The 22717-nt window shown below is 39.8% G+C and overlaps 1 protein-coding gene across 2 annotated transcripts in view; it reads right to left on the bottom strand.

The window, feature by feature from the left end:
• SENP6 (SUMO specific peptidase 6) overlaps positions 1–22717 on the bottom strand; it is a 116402-nt gene that overhangs the window by 6293 nt on the left and 87392 nt on the right. For both annotated transcript variants that reach the window (NM_015571.4, NM_001100409.3), the window contains 5 exons: positions 16066–16185; positions 14472–14564; positions 8917–9344; positions 2359–2462; positions 573–661 (listed from right to left, as the gene is read on the bottom strand). In NM_015571.4, coding sequence (NP_056386.2) covers positions 573–661; positions 2359–2462; positions 8917–9344; positions 14472–14564; positions 16066–16185 — 834 coding nt within the window. The remainder of the gene's footprint in view (positions 1–572; positions 662–2358; positions 2463–8916; positions 9345–14471; positions 14565–16065; positions 16186–22717) is intronic.

The raw sequence follows: 22717 nt of genomic DNA, 5'->3' as shown, positions 1-22717 counted from the left end.
CACTATCAAAACTTGTGGCCGGGCGCGATGGGTCACGCCTGTAATCCCAGCAATTTGGAAGGCTCAGAGGGGCGGATCACTTGAGGCCAGGAGTTTGAGATCAGTCTTGCCAACATGGCAAAACCCCATCTCTACTAAAAATTCAAAACTTAGCCAGGCATGGTGGCACGCACCTGTAGTCCCAGCTATTCCTGAGGCTGAGGCATGAGAATCGCTTGAACCTGGGAGGTGGAGGTTGTGGTGAGCTGGGATCGTGCCACTGCACTCCAGCCTGGGCGACAGAGCAAGACTCTGTCTCAAAAAATATACACATAAAAAATTTAAACAAAACAAAACATTTGTGTGTGGACATGTGCATGCAGAGGCTGGGGAAACTGGCAAATGGAGGACTGAAATGATTACCCATTCTTCCCATTTTAATCCCTAGATAGCATGCCTCAAGTTTCCTCACTGACTCTGACAGCATTTATGAGTTTTGCTTAAGTATTTATTTAAAAAAAAAACTGTCCTGTTATGTTTTATGAGCATACTTAAAAATTATGTAGTTTTCAAGATACACAGTTAATGCTTACTGTTTACAGATAGTAGGCTTTAAATGCCACTGTCCTATTTCTGAACTGCAGTTGTCATCAGCGAGGAATCCATCGTCACTGCTATCATCCTATAAAAGACAGCCTACTGTTAATACTGAAAATATATAATCTAAATAACTAATAACCTAACAAAATAGCACACTGGAGACAAAAATATTTGTAATGATTGTCAAAACTTTTTCTCTATTTAGGTGATTAGACACTAGAGATGTGGTATGTTACTTAATTCCAATTATCCAATGCTACAACACTGACATTTTAAGGAAAATAAACTACCAGAGGTTTATAACAAATTGTTACATCTATTTACTCAATCTAGAATAAATCTTTAAGACTGAATATATTATGACTGAATCTTCTCCCACCAAATATTACTGCTCTGATTTTAGTTTATTTTTACAAAAATTTAGTTTGTTGGCTAAGACAGCTATTTCACAATAGGATATAAAATAACATGTTATTTTACATGAATAATGTTTTCACATCAGAAATATTTAAAGGGTTTTTGGAAACACTGTTTTCCTTGAGAAACCCACTTATCCATCTCACTTGAGAGAAGCTAACTTAAGGACACTGAGTCCTTATTCTGTAGATTCTCTTGAATGTAAAATAAACAAGGCTTTTTTGGTCATTGTTGTTCTTTGAGAAAGCTTCTGGCAACTTTACGAATGGAATAATCAATAGTAGGAATAATAGTAATAATAAAGCAGTTACATTAGCTTGTTCACATCACAGGTAACTGCTATAACCAAAAGTACCTAAGTGCTCATTATAAATCATGAATGTAATTCCTATATATGTTGGATTGAAAAGCTATATTTAGTTGCCATACATTGTAAACCAAGAGATATCTTAAAATGCCTTTTGTTCACTGGAAGATTAAGCAAAAAGGAAAGATGGTGCAGTATAAAGCTATCTTCACTACTATACAACTCAGTATGTCCTAACAACTAATGAAAGGTCAGAGAATTAACAAAATGGTATGCTGTAGGATTCTTATAAACTTTTCTCAATATAAAATCCTCTTTTAACAGAAGCTAAAAAGTAAAGTATTTTCACAGATATACTTTATTCTTGCTGTTCATACTGTTTGTTAGGGCAAATGAGACTCCAAGGAAAAGTCAGAATTCATCTATATTAACTTTAATTAAATATTATCTGCTTCTGCCATGACACATATAAATCGAATCAGGCAGGAGAAAAAAAAATAACTGGAAAAGTGGGAAAACAATATAATATTTTTGGTACTCATGTACCATATAACTGAAGGTTTAAACATTTGCTTCTTGAATGTCAAGTCAGGTTAAAGGTTAAGTATGACCCATAAATGCTTTGAAAGAGGAAGGTGGGTATTGGTGGTGGTAGCTGAGTTAGGGTGAGTTAATCAGTATTACATTAAAGTTCAGTCCACACCACAGTAGCAGCAACAACAGCATGTATACATTTATCCTGGCAACTTCTGACTTGAAAGCTGAATTTGTTTTTTAAGATATGATCCAAATTCAGAAGCCATGATAAATTACTAGTTGAAGAAATTGCTTTACAAGACTTTATAAAGTCTTTTTCTTTTTCCTTTTTTCATTTTTTTTTAAGAGATGGAGTTTCCTTATGTTGCCCAGGCTGAACTCAAACTCCTAGGCTCAAGAGATCTTTCTGCCTTAGCCTCCCAAGTCACTGGGACTACAGGTGTGCACCACCATGTTCAGCAAGAAAAACTTTTAATTAGATAAAACATTAGAACTTTTTGCCAAGCATTAAGTTTTACCTGGTTATCCTGATCTTCTGAGAAGTCGACGAGTTCATCTTCAAGCATTTTACCAGCTTCAGGTGATTCATCGCTATAGTTTAGTCTGATTTTGCTTAAGCCATCTGTATCAATAAGAAACATTACATAATAAAAAAGGCCATGTCTATCACTCATAGTATATGAGGCTGAAATTAATGCTAGTAGTTAATTAATGATACAGTAGTCAAGAACACAAAATCTGCCTTAGTGTGTAATATCACAAACATAAAGTAAGTTATTTTAAAAACCTGGATTGACATGTCAATTACAGTTGTTTCCACTACCCAGATGCTAAAATTCATTAAAATTTAAAAACTAGTTATCAGCTATATGATTAAGTATACATATACTTAAATACATATACATATGTATATGTGTAAACAAATAAGTACTTTTGTGTTAGGCAAGTCAGGTATCTTTAGTAATGAAAGCTATGACAGTCTGAAAATAACCTATGTCCAATAACAGAAACAGCATGTCATAGAACATAAAAGAAAATGCAACTGCATAATTTTATAATTAAAATTTCGAAAACGTGGAAAATTATATAATTCAGGGCAAAAATGAACATTAACTACAAGTAAGTAATAGGTCTGTTTTTAGACAAATAATAAGCAACTATTTTGCTGAAAGAAGCTAATCACAACATGTTTCAAAGAAATGTAAGATTTACTACCATTTCAATTTTTTATTTTATTTATTTATTTTTATTTTTTGAGACGGGGTCTTGCTCTGTCGCCCAGGCTGGAGTGCAGTGGCACAATCTCGGCTCACTGCAACCTCTGCCTCCCAGGTTCGAGTGATTTCTCCTGCCTCAGCCTACTGAGTAGCTGGGATTACAGGTACATACCACCATGCCTGGCATTTTTGTATTTTTAGTAGAGATGGGGTTTTGCCATGTTGACCAGGCTGGTCTTGAACTCCTGTCCTCAAGTGATCCACCTGCCTCGGCCTCCCAAAGTGTTGGGATTACAGGCATGAGCCACCGTGCCTGGCCTCACTTATTTATTTTTTAAGAGACAGGATTTCTCTCACTCTTTTGCCCAGGTGGAGTCCAGTGATGCAATCAGAACTCGCTGTAACCTTGAACTCCTACGCTCAAGCCATCCTCCTGCTTTGGCCTCCCAGAGTGCTGGGATTACAGGTGCACACCACTATGCCCAGCTGATTTTTATTTATTTATTTTCCTCTCAAAAATTTGAAAAGCATGACTTTTAGTTATTGTAGACAGGATAAAATAAATTTTGGTATAAGTTAATAAAAAGGTGTTAAGATATTAATATAAACAAGATGGGATGAAAAGGAAGCAAAAAATCTGAAAAGATATATAATCCAGACTGGCTAACATGGTGAAACCCTGTCTCTACTAAAAATACAAAAACTAGCTGGGCATGGTGGCATGCACCTGTAATCCCAGCTACTTGAGAGGCTGAGAGACAGGAGAATTGCTTGAACCCAGGCAACAGAGGTTGCAGTAAGCCAAGACTGCGCCACTGTACTCCGACCTGGGTGATAGAGCAAGACTCTGTCTCAAAAAAGGAGAAGAGAAAAGATACATAAATCTAACTCTTGTGTTCAGAAGCACACTATTTAAAATAACCGATAAACCAATGAAGCACTATGGGGCCGGGCACAGTGGCCTAGCACCTGTAATCCTCTAGCACTTTGGGAGGCTGAGGCAGGAGGATCACCTGAGTTCAGAAGGATCACCTGGGCAACATAGTGAGACCCTGTCTCTACAAACAAAATAAAATAAAGAATCAGCCAGGTGTAGTGGTGGGCACCTGTGGTCCCAGTTACTCAGGAAGCTGAGGTGGGAGGATCACTTGAGCCTGGGAGGTTGAGACTGCGGTGAACTGTGATTGTATTGCTGTACTCTTAACTTCTATGAAAGTGAGACTGTCTCAAAAAAGAACAAAAATCCACCACCACAACAACAAAAAAGCACTATGGGCTGAGCGCAGTGGCTCACATCTGTAATCCCAACACTCTGGGAGGCTGAGATGGGAGGATTGCTTGAACACAGAAGTTTGAGACCAGCCTGGGCAACAAAGTGAGCCCGTCTCTACAGAAAATAAATTTTGCCGGGCAGGTGACACATGCCTATAGTCCCAGCTACTCAGGGGGTTGAGCTGGGAGGACTGCTTGAGTCCAGGAGGTAGCGGCTTCAGTGAGCTGTGATTGTGCCACTGCATTCCAGCCTGGGCAACAGAGTGAGACCCTGTCTCAAAAAAAAAAAAAAAAAAAAAAAAAAGAAGAAGAAGAAAGAAAAAAATAATGACCTCTTCAATTTATCTTTTCCAAAAATCTGTATTTTTAAGTCTGTTTAAAGCTAAAACACCTATATTTGAATAACATTTGTCCAAAATCTTCAGGTAATTCAGAATTAGTCAGTTATAATCAGGTTACTTCCAGCAGCAAATCATTATCTATGTAAACTGTGGTCATATAAATATCTATCTACCTTACACAAACTAAACCAGAAATGCCTTTCAAAAACAGGAGAAAAATAACCTAAATGATGCAGTCAATTCCCCCATAAACAAGTGATCTGGAGTAAATTGAGAGGTGATGACTTGATCAGTGGTTCTCTCAATCAGTGTCAGTTCCTGAGAACTTCTCATATAAGGAGACCATGTGAAGATGTTGAGTGTGATTCTAGAGTTTAAGCGTACACATTTTTCATGCACCATGGCAAGTCAACTATTTCATAAGGTGTCAAGTGAAAAAACAGCAAGTGAAAGTAGTGATTCCACACATTGTTATTTCCCTAGTTTTCTGTAAAAACCTAATTTCCACTTATTTACTACAGCCTGTTATCTGACATAAGTAGTCAACACTTGTTGACTCTATGTGAAATCACTGTATGTGATTTTTTGTGAAACATTTGTTTCAGAGGAAGAGATAGTTGATATGGTATACACATACTAAAAACAAAACAAAAATGTACAAACTATAATTCAAAAATGAGTAAATGGGATATACAAGTATTAAGAAGGCAAACTACATAAAACAAGTTATTTTTGGCTTTGGTCTCCATTAGGATTTTTGAGGCTATTTACTCAAATTTAACTGGCTTTTACTTGACCAGAAAATTAATTTGTAGGTGAGGGCACTAGAAATCTCTGGAGTTTGTGTATATGAAACCCTAGGCTTTTGTCCCATTGCTTTAAGTCAAGTACCTTAATTCATTTGAATTCACATTAAAGTATGTAACATTATTGGTCAAAAGGAGACTTTAAAAAGCCACACTGAAATGTAATTCACATACCATATACAGCCATTTAAAGCATACAGTCTAATGTTTTTTAGTATATGCACAGCCATCATCACAACCAATTTTTAAACCTTTTCATCATCTCAAAAAGAAACCCCATACCACTTAGCTATCACTCTCTTCCTACATTCCCACCCACCTCACCTGCCCACCCCCAAAAGCCCCGAGCAGCCACTAATCTACTCCAGATTTTCCTGCTCAGGAGATTTCTTACAAGAGCTCAACAGGTCGGGTGAGGTGGTGCGCACCCGTAATCCCAGCTACTAGGGAGGCTGAGGCAAGAGAAGACAATCTCTTGAACCCAGGAGGGGGAGGTTGCAGTGAGACAAGATTACGCCACTGCACTCCAGCCTGGGTGATTAAGAGAGACTCCATCTCAAAAAAAAAAAAAAAAAAAAAAAAAAAAAGGCTCAAAAATAGCTTTCTAACTCACTAAAATAATATAAGCTGGTATAAGTAACAGGAGTATGTTCCATATTCACAATTTTTGATAGGTTCTTTCTGAATTCACATAATTTATTCTATGTCCTATACCAATATTTTTCATCCAAATAAGATTCATTAGTTCCATGAGCAAGGTGTTAAAAAAAAAGAAGAAAAATGTATTAGATCTATTCACAGTTTAAGAAGTTTGCAAGGCACACACTATAGCATGTTATGGGTTTTTATGGAGAGGATTATTTTACTTGTAGGTTGGAGAGGAAATTATACAATTGACTTGATATCAAATTTAAGAATTTGAACAGAAACTAGTTTTTAATTAATTAATTAATTTATTTATTTATTTTTGAGATGGAGTCTCGCTCTGTTGCCCAGACTGAAGTGCAGTTGCGCGATCCCAGCTCACTGCAACCTCCGCCCCCAGGTTCAAGTGATTCTCCTGCCTCAGCCTCCTGAGTAGCTAGGATTACAGGCGGGCACCACCACACCCAGCTAATTTTTGTATTTTTAGTAGAGATGGGGTTTTACCACGTTGGTCAGGCTGGTCTCAAACTCCTGACCTACTGATCCACCCGCCTCAGCCTCCCAAAGTGCTGGGATTACAGGCGTGAGCCACCACACCTGGCCAAAACTAGATTTAACAGGTTCTACAACTACAGGACTGACTCAAGGACAAAAATCAAGTTATTAGAGCTGAAGAGAGATTTAAACAAACAAAGATTGGACCAGTGCTCCTCTTCCCACTGAAAACAGTGAAGGAGAGTGAGGAATGAAGAACCAAGCTTTAATTGGAATGTATAGGGAAAAGAAAGAGAGATCAGACTGTTACTGTGTCTATGTAGAAAGGGAAGACATAAGAAACTCCATTTTGGCCTGTACCCTGAACAATTGCTTTGCCCTGAGATGCTGTAACTTTGCCCCAACCACTTTGCCCTAACCTCTTTGCCCCAAACTTGAGCTCACAAAAACATGTGTTGTATGGAATCAAGGTTTAAGGGATCTAGGGCTGTGCAGGATGTGCTTTGTTAACAAAATGTTTACAAGCAGTATGCTCGGTAAAAGTCATCACCATTCTCTAGTCTCGATAAACCAGGGGCACAATGCGCTGCAGAAAGCCGCAGGGACCTCTGCCCTGGAAAGCTGGGTATTGTCCAAGGTTTCTCCCCATGTGATAGTCTGAAATATGGCCTCGTGGGACGGGAAGGACCTGACCGTCCCCCAGCCCAACACCCGTGAAGGGTCTGTGCTGAGAAGGATTAGTGAAAGAGGAAAGCCTCTTGCAGTTGAGATAGAGGAAGGCCACTGTCTCCTGCCTGCTCCTGGGAACTGAATGTCTCAGTATAAAACCCGATTGTACATTTGTTCAATTCTGAGATAGGAGAAAAACCGCCCTATGGCAGGAGGCGAGACATGTTGGCAGCAATGCTCCTTTGTTATTCTTTACTCCACTGAGATGTTTGGGTGGAGAGAAACATAAATCTGGCCTACGTGCACATCCAGGCATAGTACCTCCACTTGAACTTAATTGTGACACAGATTCCTTTGCTCACATGTTTTCTTGCTGATCTTCTCCCTATTATCACCTTGCTCTCCTACGGCATTCCTCTTGCTGAGATAGTGAAAATAGTAATCAACCAAAACAGAGAGAACTCAAAGACCGGTGACGGGGCAGGTCCTTGATATGCTGAGTGCCGTTCTCCTGGGCCCACTGTTCTTTCTCTATACTTTGTCTCTGTGTCTTATTTCTTTCTCAGTCTCTCGTCCCACCTGACGAGACATACCTACAGGTGTGGAAGGGCAGGCCACCCCTTCAGGACTGTTCACAACTATTTTGAAGAGAAAGCTTTAATTTCTGCCTTGGGTTATTTGATCTCAATTTACCAATGTGTAAATTGAGATCTAATTTGTCTTATACATCTAAGACTGCACAACTACTGTTAATGCTGAATACTGTAAATTTCCTATGAAATAAAAATAGATCCAAGTTCCAATAAATGGAAAATATAAACTTTGTACTGCAATTTCAAAATTGCACCCTAGGGGTGACAGAAGTGACAGACTACAAAAAGGGCACAATGGGATTTTTTTTTGAGTGATGGAAAGTTCTCAATTTTTTTGTTTTTTAATTTTGAGATGGAGTTTCACTCTGTCACCCAGGCTGGACTGCAGTGGTGCGATCTCCACTCACTGCAACTTCAGCACCCTGAGCTCAAGCGATCCTCCCTCCTCAACCTCCTAAGTAGCTGGGACCACCGATGGGCACCACCATATCTGGCTAAGTTTTTGTATTTTTGGTAGAGACAGGGCTTTACCATGTTGCCCAGGCTGGTTTCAAACTTCTGAGCTCAAGTGATCTGCCCATCTTGGCCTCTCAAAGTGCTAGGATTACAGTCGTGAGCCACTGTGCCCTGATCAGGTTCTCAATTTTGATTGCAGTAGTGATTACATGACTCTATGTATACATTTATCAAAGTTCAAGCTACACTCATTAAATGAGTGAATGCTATTATAATTATACCTCAGTATAAATTAAAAGTAAGTTGTGTTACTATATTGTTATAAGTAAATTCTTTAAAAATTTTCTATTTATTTTTTTTTGTTGGAGATTGGGTCTCGCTATGTTGCCCACGCTGGTCTCAAACTCCTGGCCTCAAGTGATCCTCCTGCCTTGGCCTCCCAAAGTGCTGGGATTATAAGCGTGAGCCACCACACCCAGTCATTAACCTGATTTTTTTTTAAAACAGGATCTTAATCCTGTTTATTAAAAAATCCAGATTATTCTGAATTTTTTCATTCTTTCAAAACATTTAGATACATACCTGTATGATGTGTGGAACTTAAACTTTCATTCTGTAGGCCATTCTCACTTTTAGTCCTATCAGCAACTTTCTGGGATGTAGATTCTCCTTTATTGAATTCTTCATTTTCACTCGCAGTATGATTTATTTTTTTCACACTGTATTTTACACTGCATATGTTTCTCTTATAACGAGGGTCACTTTCTTCCTGCCCAGGATTGGAATCAATTACAGCTATGCAATGTTTTTTGTTTAGCATCTTCTTAATTACAGGCTTGGCAGAAGAGTTTTGTGAACAACTCTCCATTTCACTGGCTGAAGAAGAAATACAACTGTCCTCTACAGTTGAACATTTCTGTATGACAGCATTTTCATGGTAATGAGGATTAGGTTCATACTTTGGTTTTTCCAAACCGGGGAAACAAACAACAGCCAAAAACCAGTGTGCACTGTAAAAAACAAATGAAATGACTAAATATGTTATTAGAAAAGTTTATTATATTTGGCAATACATATCAATTAAAATGTTTTTTTCTAAAGTTCTTGCCAATTAATTTATTAAAAATGCCTAATTCTGGCCGGGCGCAGTAGCTCACGCCAGTAATCCCAGCACTTTGGGAGGCTGAGGTGGGTGGATCACCTGAGGTCAGCAGTTCGAGACCAGCCTAGCCAACATGGCAAAACCCTGTCTCTACTAAAAATACAAAAATTAGCCAGGCGCAGTGGTGTGCACCCGTAATCCCAGCTACTCAGTAGGCTGAGGCAGGAGAATCACTTGAACCCAAGAGGCAGAGGTTGCAGTGAGCCGAGATTGTGCCACAGCATTCCAGCTTGGGGGTGACAAAGCAAGACTCCATCTCAAAAAAAAAAAAAAAGCCTATTTTTTTTTTAGTTCTCAAATTAATCTGCTTGTTTTATGTAATCACTGATTCAGTAACAGAACACAATGTCTATTCAAAAATAACACAGTTTGTATTAAAATTATGTAGCCTGTATTTACTTTTGCAAACAATCCCTGAACGCTTTCTTGTTTTTGGAATGAAAAATTCATTGCTTTTTCTGGCAAGTAATGTCACTTTGCAACTCGTCATTCCCCTTTGCCTTCTCTTTATGTAAAAAGATGGAAAGCTATCCATCTTAAAGATTAAACTGTCGGCCAGGTGCGGTGGCTCACGCCTGTAATCCTAGCACTTTGGGAGGCCGAGGCGGGTGGATTGCCTGAGTTCAGGAGTTCGAGAACAGCCTGGGCAACACAGTGAAACCCCGTCTCTACTAAAATACAGAAAATTAGCTGGGCGTGGTAGTGTGCGCCTGTAGTCCCAGCTACTTGGGAGGCTGAGGCAGGAGAATTGCTTGAACCCGGGAGGCGGAGGTTGCAGTGAGCTGAGATTGTGCCACTGCACTCCACCCTGGGCGACAGAGCGAGACTCCGTCTCCAAAAAAAAAAAAAAAAAAAAAAAGATTAAACTGTCTTCAGCAGTCTAATTAGGTCATATGATTTTTTCAACATTCTAAGAATTGCATATATAGTTTTGTTCTTTTTACTGTTACTGTGTGTTATTAAGATAGGAAAGGCTTAATATCAAAAATATGTATATAAGTAATGTTTTATCTCATGCTATATTGAAATTTAATACATTAAAAAGAAATAACATATCTAACCTAGTCCTTGCACAAAAATTTAAGTATTAGTAGAGAGTTCCAGCTATCAAGTAGGTGCTTATGATACAGCTGAATTCAGGTATCACTGTTCCCAACAGTAGAGTATAGGACACAAGCAAGAAGCTGTACAGTCCTGGCTAATATTCATTTTTTGCTAGACACAGGGCTGTGCTGGGATACAAGGAACAGGCTATAGATGTCAGGGAGCTTATTGGTCAAGCACAATAATATTTGTCCTATGGTAGGGTGTTCAATAAATATTTGCTGGATGAAAAACAAGTTATCTTGCCATGGATAAAAATTATTCCACTTTCTCATTTTTGTAGAATATTAGAGTACCCAAGTTAGTACTAAGAAACAGCACTATCTATCTCTTCATCAAACAGCATCCAGTAGAAATGGCTGTCATAGGCTGGCTGGCTTCATCTTCTGTATTGCGAAGTCCAGATGGATGAAAGCTTGCTTCTCTCCTGTTCTTCATTATTATTCCTTAGTACCCTATGGATTTAGATCAGGCTAACACACCAACCTCCTCATTTCATCACTTCTAACACATAGCTAATTTTATTTTATTTATAAAGTCACATCTCAACTTTAGACATGTTGCAATGTGAAAAAAATGTGTTTTAAAAATTGATGATGCCGGGCACGGTGGCTCACACCTGTAATCCCAACACTTTGGGAGGTTGAGGCAGGCATATCGCTTGAGCTCAGGAGTTGGAGACTGGCCTGGGCAACGTGGCAAAACCCCGTCTCTACCAAAAACACAAAATATTAGCTGGGTGTGATGGCACGTGCCTGTGGTCCAAGCTACTGGGGTTGGAGGCTGAGGTGGGAGGATAGCTTGAGCCTGGGAGGCGGAGATTGCAGTGAGCCGAGATGGTGCCACTGCACTCCAGTCTGGGCGACAGAGTGAGACCCCATCTCAAAATAAATAAAATAAAATTGATGAAATATAGTATAATACAGTGACTCTCAACCTACAGCTGTAATAAAGCCTATCACAGTTCTTAATATTTCTTAGCTATGCCAATGTGGCTAAGCTACAAATATCCTCACCTAAAAACTAGGAAAAATCCTTTTTGGCCTAAGAAGAGAAAGCTGAATCAGACAATTACTTCCAACAATTACTTCCATTAAGCCAGGGTTTTGCTTTTATGATTCCTTTTAATAACAGCTACGTTAACTTTAACAGCAAGAGAGAGGGTTACACAGACTTTTGGCCAGGCGCAGTGGCTCATGCCTGTAATCCTGGTGCTATGGGAGGCTGAGGTGGGGGAACTGCTTGAGGCCAGAAGTTTGAGACCAGTCTGGGCAACACAGCTAGACCCCATCTCCAAAAAAATTTTAAAAAATTAGCTGGGCCTGTGGCATGCGCCTGTAGTTCTAGCTACTCAGGAGGCTGAGGCAGGAGGATTGCTTAAGCCTAGGAGTTTGAAGCTTCAGTGAGCTATGATTGCACCACTGTACTCCAGCTTGGGCAACAGAATGAGACTCTGTCTCTAAAAAACAAAACAAAACAAAAGAAAATACCTAGGCAATTTCACTTAAGATAGATTAGATCCACACATCAAATTTGTGTTTCTGGAAATTACTATAACAATTTTTAATAAACAGCTTAGAAACTTCAGAAAAAAATTAGGGCCAGGTACAGTGGCACATGCCTGTAATCCCAGCACTTTGAGAGGCTACGGCAGGTGGACCGCTTCGGCTCTGGAGTTTGAGACCAGACTGGGCAGCATGGCAAAACCCCATCCTCTAAAAAAAAATACAAAAATTAGCTGGGCGTGGTAGCATGCACCTATAGTCCCAGCTACTCAGGAGGCTGAGGTCGGAGGATCACTTAAGCCTGGGAGGTTGAGGCTGCAGTAAGCCGACATCATGCTACTACATTCCAGCCTGAGTGACAGACAGAGACCCTATCTCGAGAAAAAAGAAAGAAAGAAAAGAAAAACAAAACTGGTACTACCAGAAAAAATAAAAACAAAACAGATGACAAATATATGGCAGCCAATCTAACATAATTAGTGTATAAGTATTTGTAGCTTTGTCTCTTCAAAAAAAAAAAAAAAAAAAAGCAAAAACAAAAACAAGCTCTCTTGATTTATAGGCTATTTTTTAATCTACAAATGGTAGAGCTCTCTTACAGAGTTCATTTTCTACCTCTCACTAAGATGACTGGAAGCACTGATAATAACTTCCATGCAGAGGTATAGTGACTAAGAGGGATGCGCCTCTATTCCTAAATCGTGTATAATCAAATAATATTTCTATTTAAAATTTTTATAACTCATTTCTGACAAATCGCTTTCCTCCCTTTCACCTAGTAAGCTGTTCACATGTTACTTTACAAGACAAATTAGTACCCAGTCAAGAAACCTTCTTTTCTGTCTTTTTTTTTCTTTTCCTTTTTTTTTTTTTGAGATGGAGTCTCACTCTGCTGCCCAGGCTGGAGTGCAGGGGCATGATCTTGGCTCACTGCAACCTCTGCCTCCCGGGTTCAGGCGATCCTCCTGCCTCAGCCTCCTGAGTAGCTGGGATTACAGGCACGCACCACCACGCCCAGCTAATTTTTGTATTTTCAGTAGAGACGAGGTTTCGCCATGTTCGCCAGGTTGGTCTTGAACCCCTGACCTCAAGTAATCCGCCCACCTCAGCCTCTCAAAGTGTTGGGATTACAGGCGTGAGCCACCACGCCCAGCCAAAACCTTATTTTGAAGAGAATGAAGAAATTAACTAGTTTTAAATGTTATTTTAAATTTTACTATGATAATATGAATTTAAAAATATATAGCTTTGCTAGGAGCAGTGGCTCATGTCTATAATCCCAGCTACTTGGGAGGCTGAGGTTGGGGGATGGCTTGAGGCCAAGAGTTCAAGACCAGCCTGAGCAACACAGTGAGACCCTCACCTCTACAAAAGTTAAAAAAAAAAAATTCAGAAGCTAGCTTGGCACAGCTAGGCTTATTAGACATAAACAATCTCATAGAATACCAACTCCAGGAAAGCATATTCTGCAACCATGATAGAATGAGACAAAGTAGGGCCATATCATAATTTGTCTAAGCAGAGAAAAACATAAGGTCACAGTTGGAAACCACAAAATAGCCAACATTCTTCTTCTTTATTAATGAGTGAATGCTACTTCTTTACCTAGGCAAACCACTACTTTAGACCCTCCCCCATATCACTCAAGGAAAGCCCAGATTCTGTCACAGGTTCTTTGAAACATCCTTTTATTGAGAGGCTCCAGAGTGGCCCATGGTGTGTGTCATTCCTTGATGCAAGTGATAAACCCAAGTTTTCCGACTACAAGTGTATTTCTGGTGTTCTTTGGATTGAGGGCATAGAAAAGCGAAAGAATAAAACACAAAAAACTTTTAAGTCTCCATTGTAAAATACTACTATCTAGTCATTGGGAGAGAATAATACAAATCTTTAAACACCTCCATTTACTCAGAAACTGCTTCAAGTAGTCCACATGGTTTTTAATTGAAAAATGGCATAAATCCAACCATCGTTTCTCCTTTCTGGCTAAAAACAGAAGTGTATTTTAAACTTAAGATTCCAATTCCTTTATGTGACCTAATCATCTTTTTGTATAAAATAATACTTTTCTATAGGTTACTTGCTAGACAATAAGCACCATATTTTTAAAAATGGTATTATTTGACATTAATGAATAAAATGAGATTAGAAAGGTATCTGGTCTATTGTCTCTAAAATTCAATATCTTACATGCTTCACTGTGAAACTGCATTAATTCTTGTAAAACAGGCAGTACAAATATGAATATACACAAGAGATTTCAGAAAGATGTTTTAAAATGAATTCTTCACCTCATACTCATTATTTAAAAATTGCCATCATTTACATGATTTAAAGATTTTCCTTTAAAGGAAATTCTTACTCACGCTTCATTAAGGGGTACAAAAATAAAATCCTTCTCAAAAATATCTACGTGCCGGGTCCATGTTTTTACTCTCCCATGCCGTTTTTGCTGTATTCTGTAAGAAAGAGATAAATTATAAGCTTCTGAAATATTTCTAGTGCTCCAGCTTATATGTAGTGATTTATAAATTAAGAAGATTCAGATGTAATAGCTCAAACAGTTGCATAAAATGGTTTGACAAACTGGGGAAAGAAAATAGAACTTGTTGGATGGAAACTAGGAAGGCATGGGACTACCCATTGTTGAATTTGGAGAAAGATATTTTACTCCTGTTACTCCATCTGAGGGGTGGAAGTTCTAGTGCTTATCTTGCCTAGACTTCTCTTTACTATTTTTATTACTGCAGAATTGGTCCTGGCAACTATATTGAGAGGTGTAGCCAAGCACGACTTAGGGTAACTGGGGAGAAGACAGTAGGAAAAGTGAGCATTATCTGATGGTAGATGAAGCAATATAGCCATGAGCACTGGTCAAAACCAATGACTGTTATCACCTCTAAGATGCAACATTAGGAATTGCTGAAATAAGAGAATATATTATTATTATTAATTATTTATTATGCATAGCAGCCATCAATTCAAGACATCTAACACTAGTTTTAAATTTTAAAAGTACCAATTCTTAAGTGTATCTTTTGATCAATTACCAGCAAATTATCAGAGCTAGATGCCATCACTATTGGAGAGGAATTATAAAGAAAAAGGTGGGGCATGGTGGCTCACACCTGAAATCCCAGTACTTTGGGGAGGCAGAGGTGAGCAGATTCCTTGAGCCCAGGAGTTTGAAACCAGCCTGGGAAACATGGTGAAACCCTGTCTCCACAAAAAATACAAAAATTAGCTGGGTGGAGTGGCGTGTGCCTTAGTCCCAGCTACTTGGGAGGCTGAGGTGGAAGGATCACTTGAGAGTGGGAGGTAGAGGTTGTGGTGAGACAAGATCACACCAATGCCCTCCAGCCTGGGTGACAGAGTGAGACCCTGTCTTGAAAAAAAGAAAACAAATCAGGCCTACTATGTACAATAGTATTTCCTTAATTTGTCTGAGAAGAATCACCCAAAGAGCTTATTAAGAGTATAGATTCACAGGTTCCTTTCTTAGATATTATGGATGAACATCTAGGATAAAACAGAGTAATCTGTAGTTAGTAAGTATCTAAGTAATTTTAAAAAAACCTACTAGTCACATTTGGGAAACACTATTCTAGATATTTGACCCAGAACATTTATAAATTCCAGGTATTCTGAAAGTATTAGAATATTATGAATTATATTAATTTTGTAAACTGATAAGAGAACTAAATGATATTGCCTCAATATAAATAAGTTGTTAAAAAAAATTCCAAAACTAGCACAAAGTTAGTTTAAGGAAGGTGAATATGAACCCATGAAGAATGAAAATGGAACTGATTTATTTAGTGTGTTCTCTTCCTGGCTGGAGAATTTAAAAAGTAAGCAAGAGAACTGCAGAGATTTGTGTTTTCTTTCAAGTACGTGATTTTTCACTTAGTTAAATGTGAGTGACTTACATCTGTTAAATATTTTCAGAGTTTGACTTACGACAGATTAGTTGTTTCATGATTTCTCCTCTCTCTCTGATTAAGGCGTTTATAGAAAAAAGAACTGAATATATGAATTCGGTCAGCGTCTTCCTTCTTCAGTTTTTCAAGCACCAAGTATCTATTTGATAGAAAATAATTCAAATATAATTAATGTAACAGTTCACTTTATTTATTTCTATTTTTTTGAGACAGAGTCTCACTCTGTTGCCCAGGCTGGAGTGCAGTGGAGCGATCTCAACTCACTGCAACCTCCACCTCCTGGGTTCAAGTGATTCTCCTGCTTCAGCCTCCCAAGTAGCTGGGATTACAGGCACACACCACCACGCCCAGCTAATTTTTCTATTTTAGTAGAGATAGGGTTTCCCCCATGTTGGTCAGGCTGGTCTCGAACTCCTGACCTCAAGTAATCCGCCCGCCTCAGCCTCCCAAAGTGCTGGGATTACAGGCGTGAGCCATGGCGCCCGGCCACAGTTCGCTTTGTATTAAAAACTCAGTAAATCTTTTTTCTTTAGAACCATCAATCTCTCTTCTTTAGAACCAAGGAAGTTATTAGCAAAGTTTGATAACTATCCGATTATCTTCAGGCAATGAAAATTGCTATTTGAAAATAAAATTATAACATAAAGATCTAATGTTTTAAAACAAGGACACATTCTATGCAGTTAGCTGAAATTGAGCCACTGCACTCCAGCCTGAGAAACAGAGTGAGACTCTGTCACACACACAAAAAACCAAAAACCTTGTTAGGCTGCACACGGTGGCTCATGCCTGTAATGTCAGCACTTTGGGAGGCTGAGGTGGGCAGATCACCTGAGGTTGGGAGCTCAAGACCAGCCTGGCCAATATGATGAAACCCTGTCTCTACTAAAAATACAAAAATTTAGCCGGGTGTGGTGGCGAGTGCCTGTAATCCCAGCTACTTGGGAGGCTGAGGTGGGAGAATCACTTGAACCTATGAGGCAGAGGTTGCAGTGAGCCAAAATCACACCACTACACTCCAGCCTGGGCATGACAGACCAAGACTTGGTCTCAAGAAAATAAAAATAAATTAAAAAAAACCAAGGGCACACTCTAAATCTAGAGTAGAGCATATGTCCCCACATTATTCATAATAGCCCAAAAGCATAAGAAAAATGCTAACCAACTGACAAATGGAAAAATAAAGTGTTACATTTATACAATGAAATATCTGAAATAGAAATGAAGTGATAATACATGATCATAGAAAATCCTTGAAAACATGCCAACTAAAAGAATCTACTCATAAAAACCACACATTTTATGGTTCTATTTGTACAAAATGTTCAGAATACAAAAAGCCAGAGATAGAGAAAAGACTGACAGTTGCATAGGCCTGGAGGAGGGATTGGAAGAAAACAGTGATTGCTAATGGGTACTAGGCTTCTTTATGGGGCAATGAAACACACTGAATTGTATACTTCAAATGGGTGAATTGTATGTTATATGTATTATATCTAAGTAAAGCTGTTATCATTATGTATTGTTTATTTCATTTTAAACAGTTCAGTTAATAAACCACGAAGATCCAGCAGCATAGTATTTTTTATGAAAATAGAAAATAAAGAGAAAGAACTTGTACAGTGGTGAGGTGGTAACAATGACTCTGTAAAGTGATCTTACATTGGTTCTAATTTTTTTTGAGATAAGAGTTTCACTCTTGTTGCCCAGGCAGGCTGGAGTGCAATGGCATGATCTCGGCTCACCACAACTTCCACCTCCCGGGTTCAAGCGATTCTCTTGCCTCAGCCTCCTGATTAGTTGGGATTATAGGCATGGACCACCATGCCAGGCTAATTTTGTATTTTTAGTAGAGACGGGGTTTCTCCATGTTGCTCAGGCTGGTCTTGAACTCTCGATCTCAGGTGATCCACCTGCCTCGGCCTCCTAAGGTGCTGGGATTACAGGCGTGAGCCACCGTGCCTGGCCTGGTTCTAAGTTTTTATTGCCTTAGTTATTTTTTTATACATCTATAGCAAAACAAGTAACAATAGTCGTTTATATCACAAAGGGAAATTATGATATATTAAATTTATTTATGATCCAAACTTTCTCATAGGACTTATGCAAGTTCAAGCTTATGGCCATATTAATATTATCAAAATGAGGACAGTCTGAAAGTCTTGTGAAATCTTACACAGAAAGAGCAAATGCTTAAAACATCTGGCCCCCTAGAGGGCACATTCTTGAGATCTGTTACTTTTATCACTAATATGCAATAATTCCAAAGCTCAAGTTTCAATGAAAATGACATAATTTAAGATTTCTTGCTTTCAGGCAACTCAGTGTGCCCCTACAGAAGATAATACAAGACAGTGAGTCAGATCAAGACACAGTTTATATTAATTGCTGAATTCTACAATAGTATCTTCAAAACACACTATGTAGATAAATAGCTATCAGTCCAGGGACTATACTGTAATGAGTGAACCATGAGACTTTTGCTGGCCCAAACTATAATGGCTACTTTGGTGTTTTTTTTTTTTTTTTTTTTAAATTTCAGACTGAGTATCACTCTGTCTCCCAGGCTGCAGTGCAGTGGTGCAATCTTGGCTCACTGCAATCTCCACCTCCAGGTTCAAGTGATTCTCCTGCCTCAGCCTCCTGAGTAGCTAGGACTGCAGGCACCCTCCACCACACCCAGCTAATTTCTGTATTTTTTTTTTAGTAGAGGCCAGGTTTCACCATGTTGGCCAGGTTGGTCTCGAACTCCATTCCTCAAATGATCCTCCCACCCTGGCCTCCCAAAATGCTGGGATTATAGGCGTGAGCCACTGTGCCTGGCCTACAATGGCTGTTTTATAAAACTTAACTGAATAAAGGGATATTCACCTTAAAAAAAGGAAATGTATTTGTGATATAAGACAACTGAGCTGGACATAGTGGCTCACTGCAGCCTCCGCCTCCTGGGCTGAAGCCATCCTCTTACCTCTTCCTCCAGAGTAGCTGGAACTACAGGCATACGCCACCATACCTGGCTAACTTTGTTTTTTTTTGGTGGGGGTAAACATGGGGTTTCGCCATGTTGTCCAGGCTGATCTCGAACTTCTGGGCTCAGGTGGTCTGCTTGCCTTGGCGTCCCAAGTGCTAGGATTACAGATTTTTTTTTTTTGGCGGGGGAAGGGAAGGAGGAAGAGCCACAGGGCCAGGTGTGAGGGAGGAGTGGGATGCGGGGAGGATGGGGGGCGAGGGATGTGGGGCTCAGGCACTAGCCTGGGAAGCCTCCAGGATTACAGGTTTGAGCCACCACACCCAGCCTGTGCTTTATTTATTTCTTTGAGATAAAGTCTCACTCTCTCGCCCAGGCTGGAGTGCAGTGGCATGGTCACAGCTCACTGCAACCTCAAACTCCTGGGCTCAAGTGATCCCTCACTTCACTCTCCTGAGTAGCTGGGACCACAGGCCTGCACTACCATGCCCAACTAATTTTTTTTTTGTATGTTTTTGTAGAGACAAGGGTCTTGCTATATTGCCCAATATGGTCTTGAACTCCTTGCCTGAAGCAATCCTCCAGCATCGGCCTCCCAAAGTACTGGGATTATAGGTGTGAGTCACTGCACCTGGCCTAATTTATGCTTTTAAAGTAACTAGTTTCGTTTTTCTGATATGCACCCATAAGATTTCTGTGACTACAGTTCTAGATTTTTTAAGTGTACATGTGTCACAACTATTAACTTTAAAATAATAATCATATCTCTCATTTTAGAATTAAAGGGAAAACCCAAGCTTACCACAAAAACTTATGGGAGGCCAGGCGCGGTGGCTCACGCCTGTAATCCCAGCACTTTGGGAGGCCGAGGCAGGCGGATCACCTGAGGTCGGGAGTTTGAGACCAGCCTGACCAACATGGAGAAACCCCATCTCTACTAAAAATACAAAACTAGCCGGGTGTGGTAGCACATGCCTGTAATCCCAGCTACTCAGGAGGCTGAGGCAGGAGAATAGCTTGAACCCGGGAGGCGGATGTTGCAGTAAGCCGAGATTGTGCCATTGCACTCCAGCCTGGACAACGAGAGTGAAACTCCATCTCAAAAAAAACCAAAAAACAATGGGAGGCCGAGGCGGGCGGATCACGAGGTCAGGAGATCGAGACCATCCTGGCTAACACGGTGAAACCCCGTCTCTACTAAAAATACAAAAAATTAGCCAGGCCTGGTGGCAGGCGCCTGTGGTCCCAGCTACTCGGGAGGCTGAGGCAGGAGAATGCCTCAGGGAGGCGGAGCTTGCAGTGAGCTGAGATCGCGCCACTGCACTCCAAACTGGGCAACAGAGCGAGGCTCCGTCTCAAAAAAAAAACAAAAAACAAAAACAAAAAACAAAAAACAAAACACAATAACAAAAAAAAGCCTTATGGGAATTTCTTCCATTTGGGTGCACCAATTTCTCTAAGTGCATACATCATTTAAATATTGAATGCTGGTGAAGCTGTTTAGTTGCTATTCCATAAAATGGAAAATCTAACATCATCAGAACTCCTTTAACTATAAGATGAAGTTAAACAGTGATTTTGGGCTGGGCACAGTGGTGGGAGGATCCCTTGAGAATAGCCTGGGCAACACAGGAAGACCCTATATCTCCAAGAAAATTTTAAAAATTAGCAGAGTGTGGTAGCTCGCACATGTAGTCCCAGCTACTTGAGAGGCTGAGGCAGGAGGATCACTTGAGCCAGGGAGGTCTGGGCTTCAGTGAGTCGTGATTGCGTCACTGCTCTCCAACCTGAACGACAAAGTAAGAATCTGTCTTTGAAAAAAAAAAAAAAATTTTAGCTGGGAATGGTAATCGCCTGTAATTCCAGCACTTTGGAGGCCAAGGTGGGAGGATCGCTTCAGCCCAGAAATTTGAGACCAGCCTGGGCACACAGGGAGATCCTGCCTCTATTAAAAAAAAAAAAAAAAAATTAGGCTGAGCACAGTGGCTCATGCCTGTAATCCCAGCACTTTGGGAAGCTGATGGGGGGCAGGGGGGATCACTTGAGGACAGAAGTTCAAGACCAGCGTGGCCAACAAGGTGAAATCCCATCTCTAATAAAAATACAAAACAATTAGCCAGGTGTGGTGGTGAGCGCCTGTAGTCCCAGCTACTCAGGAGGCTGAGGCAGGAGAATGGCATGAACCCGTGAGGCGGAGCTTGCAGTGAGCCGAGATTGCACCACTGCACTCCAGAGCCTGGGTGACAGAGCGAGACTCTCATCTCAAAAAAAAAAACAAAAAACAAAAAAACCAAAACAAACATATAAAATTTATCATGTTAACCATTCTGAGTGTAGAGTTCAGCAGTGTAAAGTATATGCACAGTGTTAAAAACAGATCTCCAGTAACTTTGTTTTGCAAAACTGAACATATGTCTATTAAACAACTCCTTTTCCCCTTCCCCTCAAATCCCAGTAAACATCAATTCTATTTTCTGTTTCTATGAATTTGACTACTTTAGATACCTCATATAACAGAAATCATACTTTTGTGACTGACTTACTGTGCTTGGCACAATGACCTCAAGGTTCATCTATGTTAAAGCAAGTAACAGTATTTCCTTCCTTTTTAAGGAAGGAAATGTATACATATTGCATTATATGTATACACCACATTTGGTTTATCCGTTCATCAATGGACAGCAGGATTGTTTCCACCACTCAGCTATTATGAATGCTGTTATGAACATGGGTGTGCAAATATGTCTTCAAGACTCTGCTTTCTGGTTGGGAGCAGTGGCTTATGCCTGTAATCCCAGAACTTTGGGAAGCCAAGGTAGGAGGACTGCTTGAGGGCAGGAGCTCAAGACCAGCCTGGCCAACAAAGTGAGACACCATCTGTATAAAAGTGAAAAAATTAGCAGGGTGTGACGGTGTGCACCTGTAGTCCCAGCTACTTAGGAAGCTGAGGCAGGACGATCACTTGAGCCCAGGAGGCTATCGTGAGCTGTGACTGTGATGCTGCACTCCATCATGGGTGACAGAATGAGACCCTAACTCAAAACAAAAAGACGCTGCTTTCAGTTCTTTTGGACATCCAGTCATGCAGTGCTTAAGAATGGGGTTATGTTCTGAGAAAGGCATCATGAGGTAATTTGAAGTTGTGCATCATCGAGTGTACTTATACAATCCGAGGTGGCATAGTGTCCTATACACCTAGGCTATATGGTATAACCTACTGCTTCTACACTATACACCTGTATAGTATGTTACCGTACTGAATACCATAGGCAACTGTGACACAATGGAAACTATTTGTGTGCCCAGAGAAAAGGTACAGTAAAAATACGTTATTATAATCTTATGGGCTCACTATCACATATGGTCCATAATTGACTGAAACGTTATGTGGCACGAGACTGTATACCCAGAAGTGGGATTGCTGGATCATATTGTAGTTCTATTTCAAATTTTTTGAGGAGCCTACGCACTGTTTTCCACAGTGGCAGCACCATTTTATAACAGTTTCAATTTCTCCACATCCTCATCAACACTTATTTTCTGTTTTTTTTTGTTTTTGTTTTAATAGTAGCCATCCTAATGGATGTGAGATGACACTGTGTTATATTGTTTTGATGCTGCATTTCTCTAATGATTACTGATGTTGAGCATCTTTCATATGCTTTTTGGCCACTTGTATGGATCACTTAAAAAAGAGATAACA

Source organism: Homo sapiens, chromosome 6 (genome assembly GCF_000001405.40).
Source record: "Homo sapiens chromosome 6, GRCh38.p14 Primary Assembly".
Classification (NCBI taxonomy): domain Eukaryota; kingdom Metazoa; phylum Chordata; class Mammalia; order Primates; family Hominidae; genus Homo; species Homo sapiens.
Note: the sequence above shows the minus strand (reverse complement) of the source record. Positions and strands in the feature narration are given on the sequence as shown.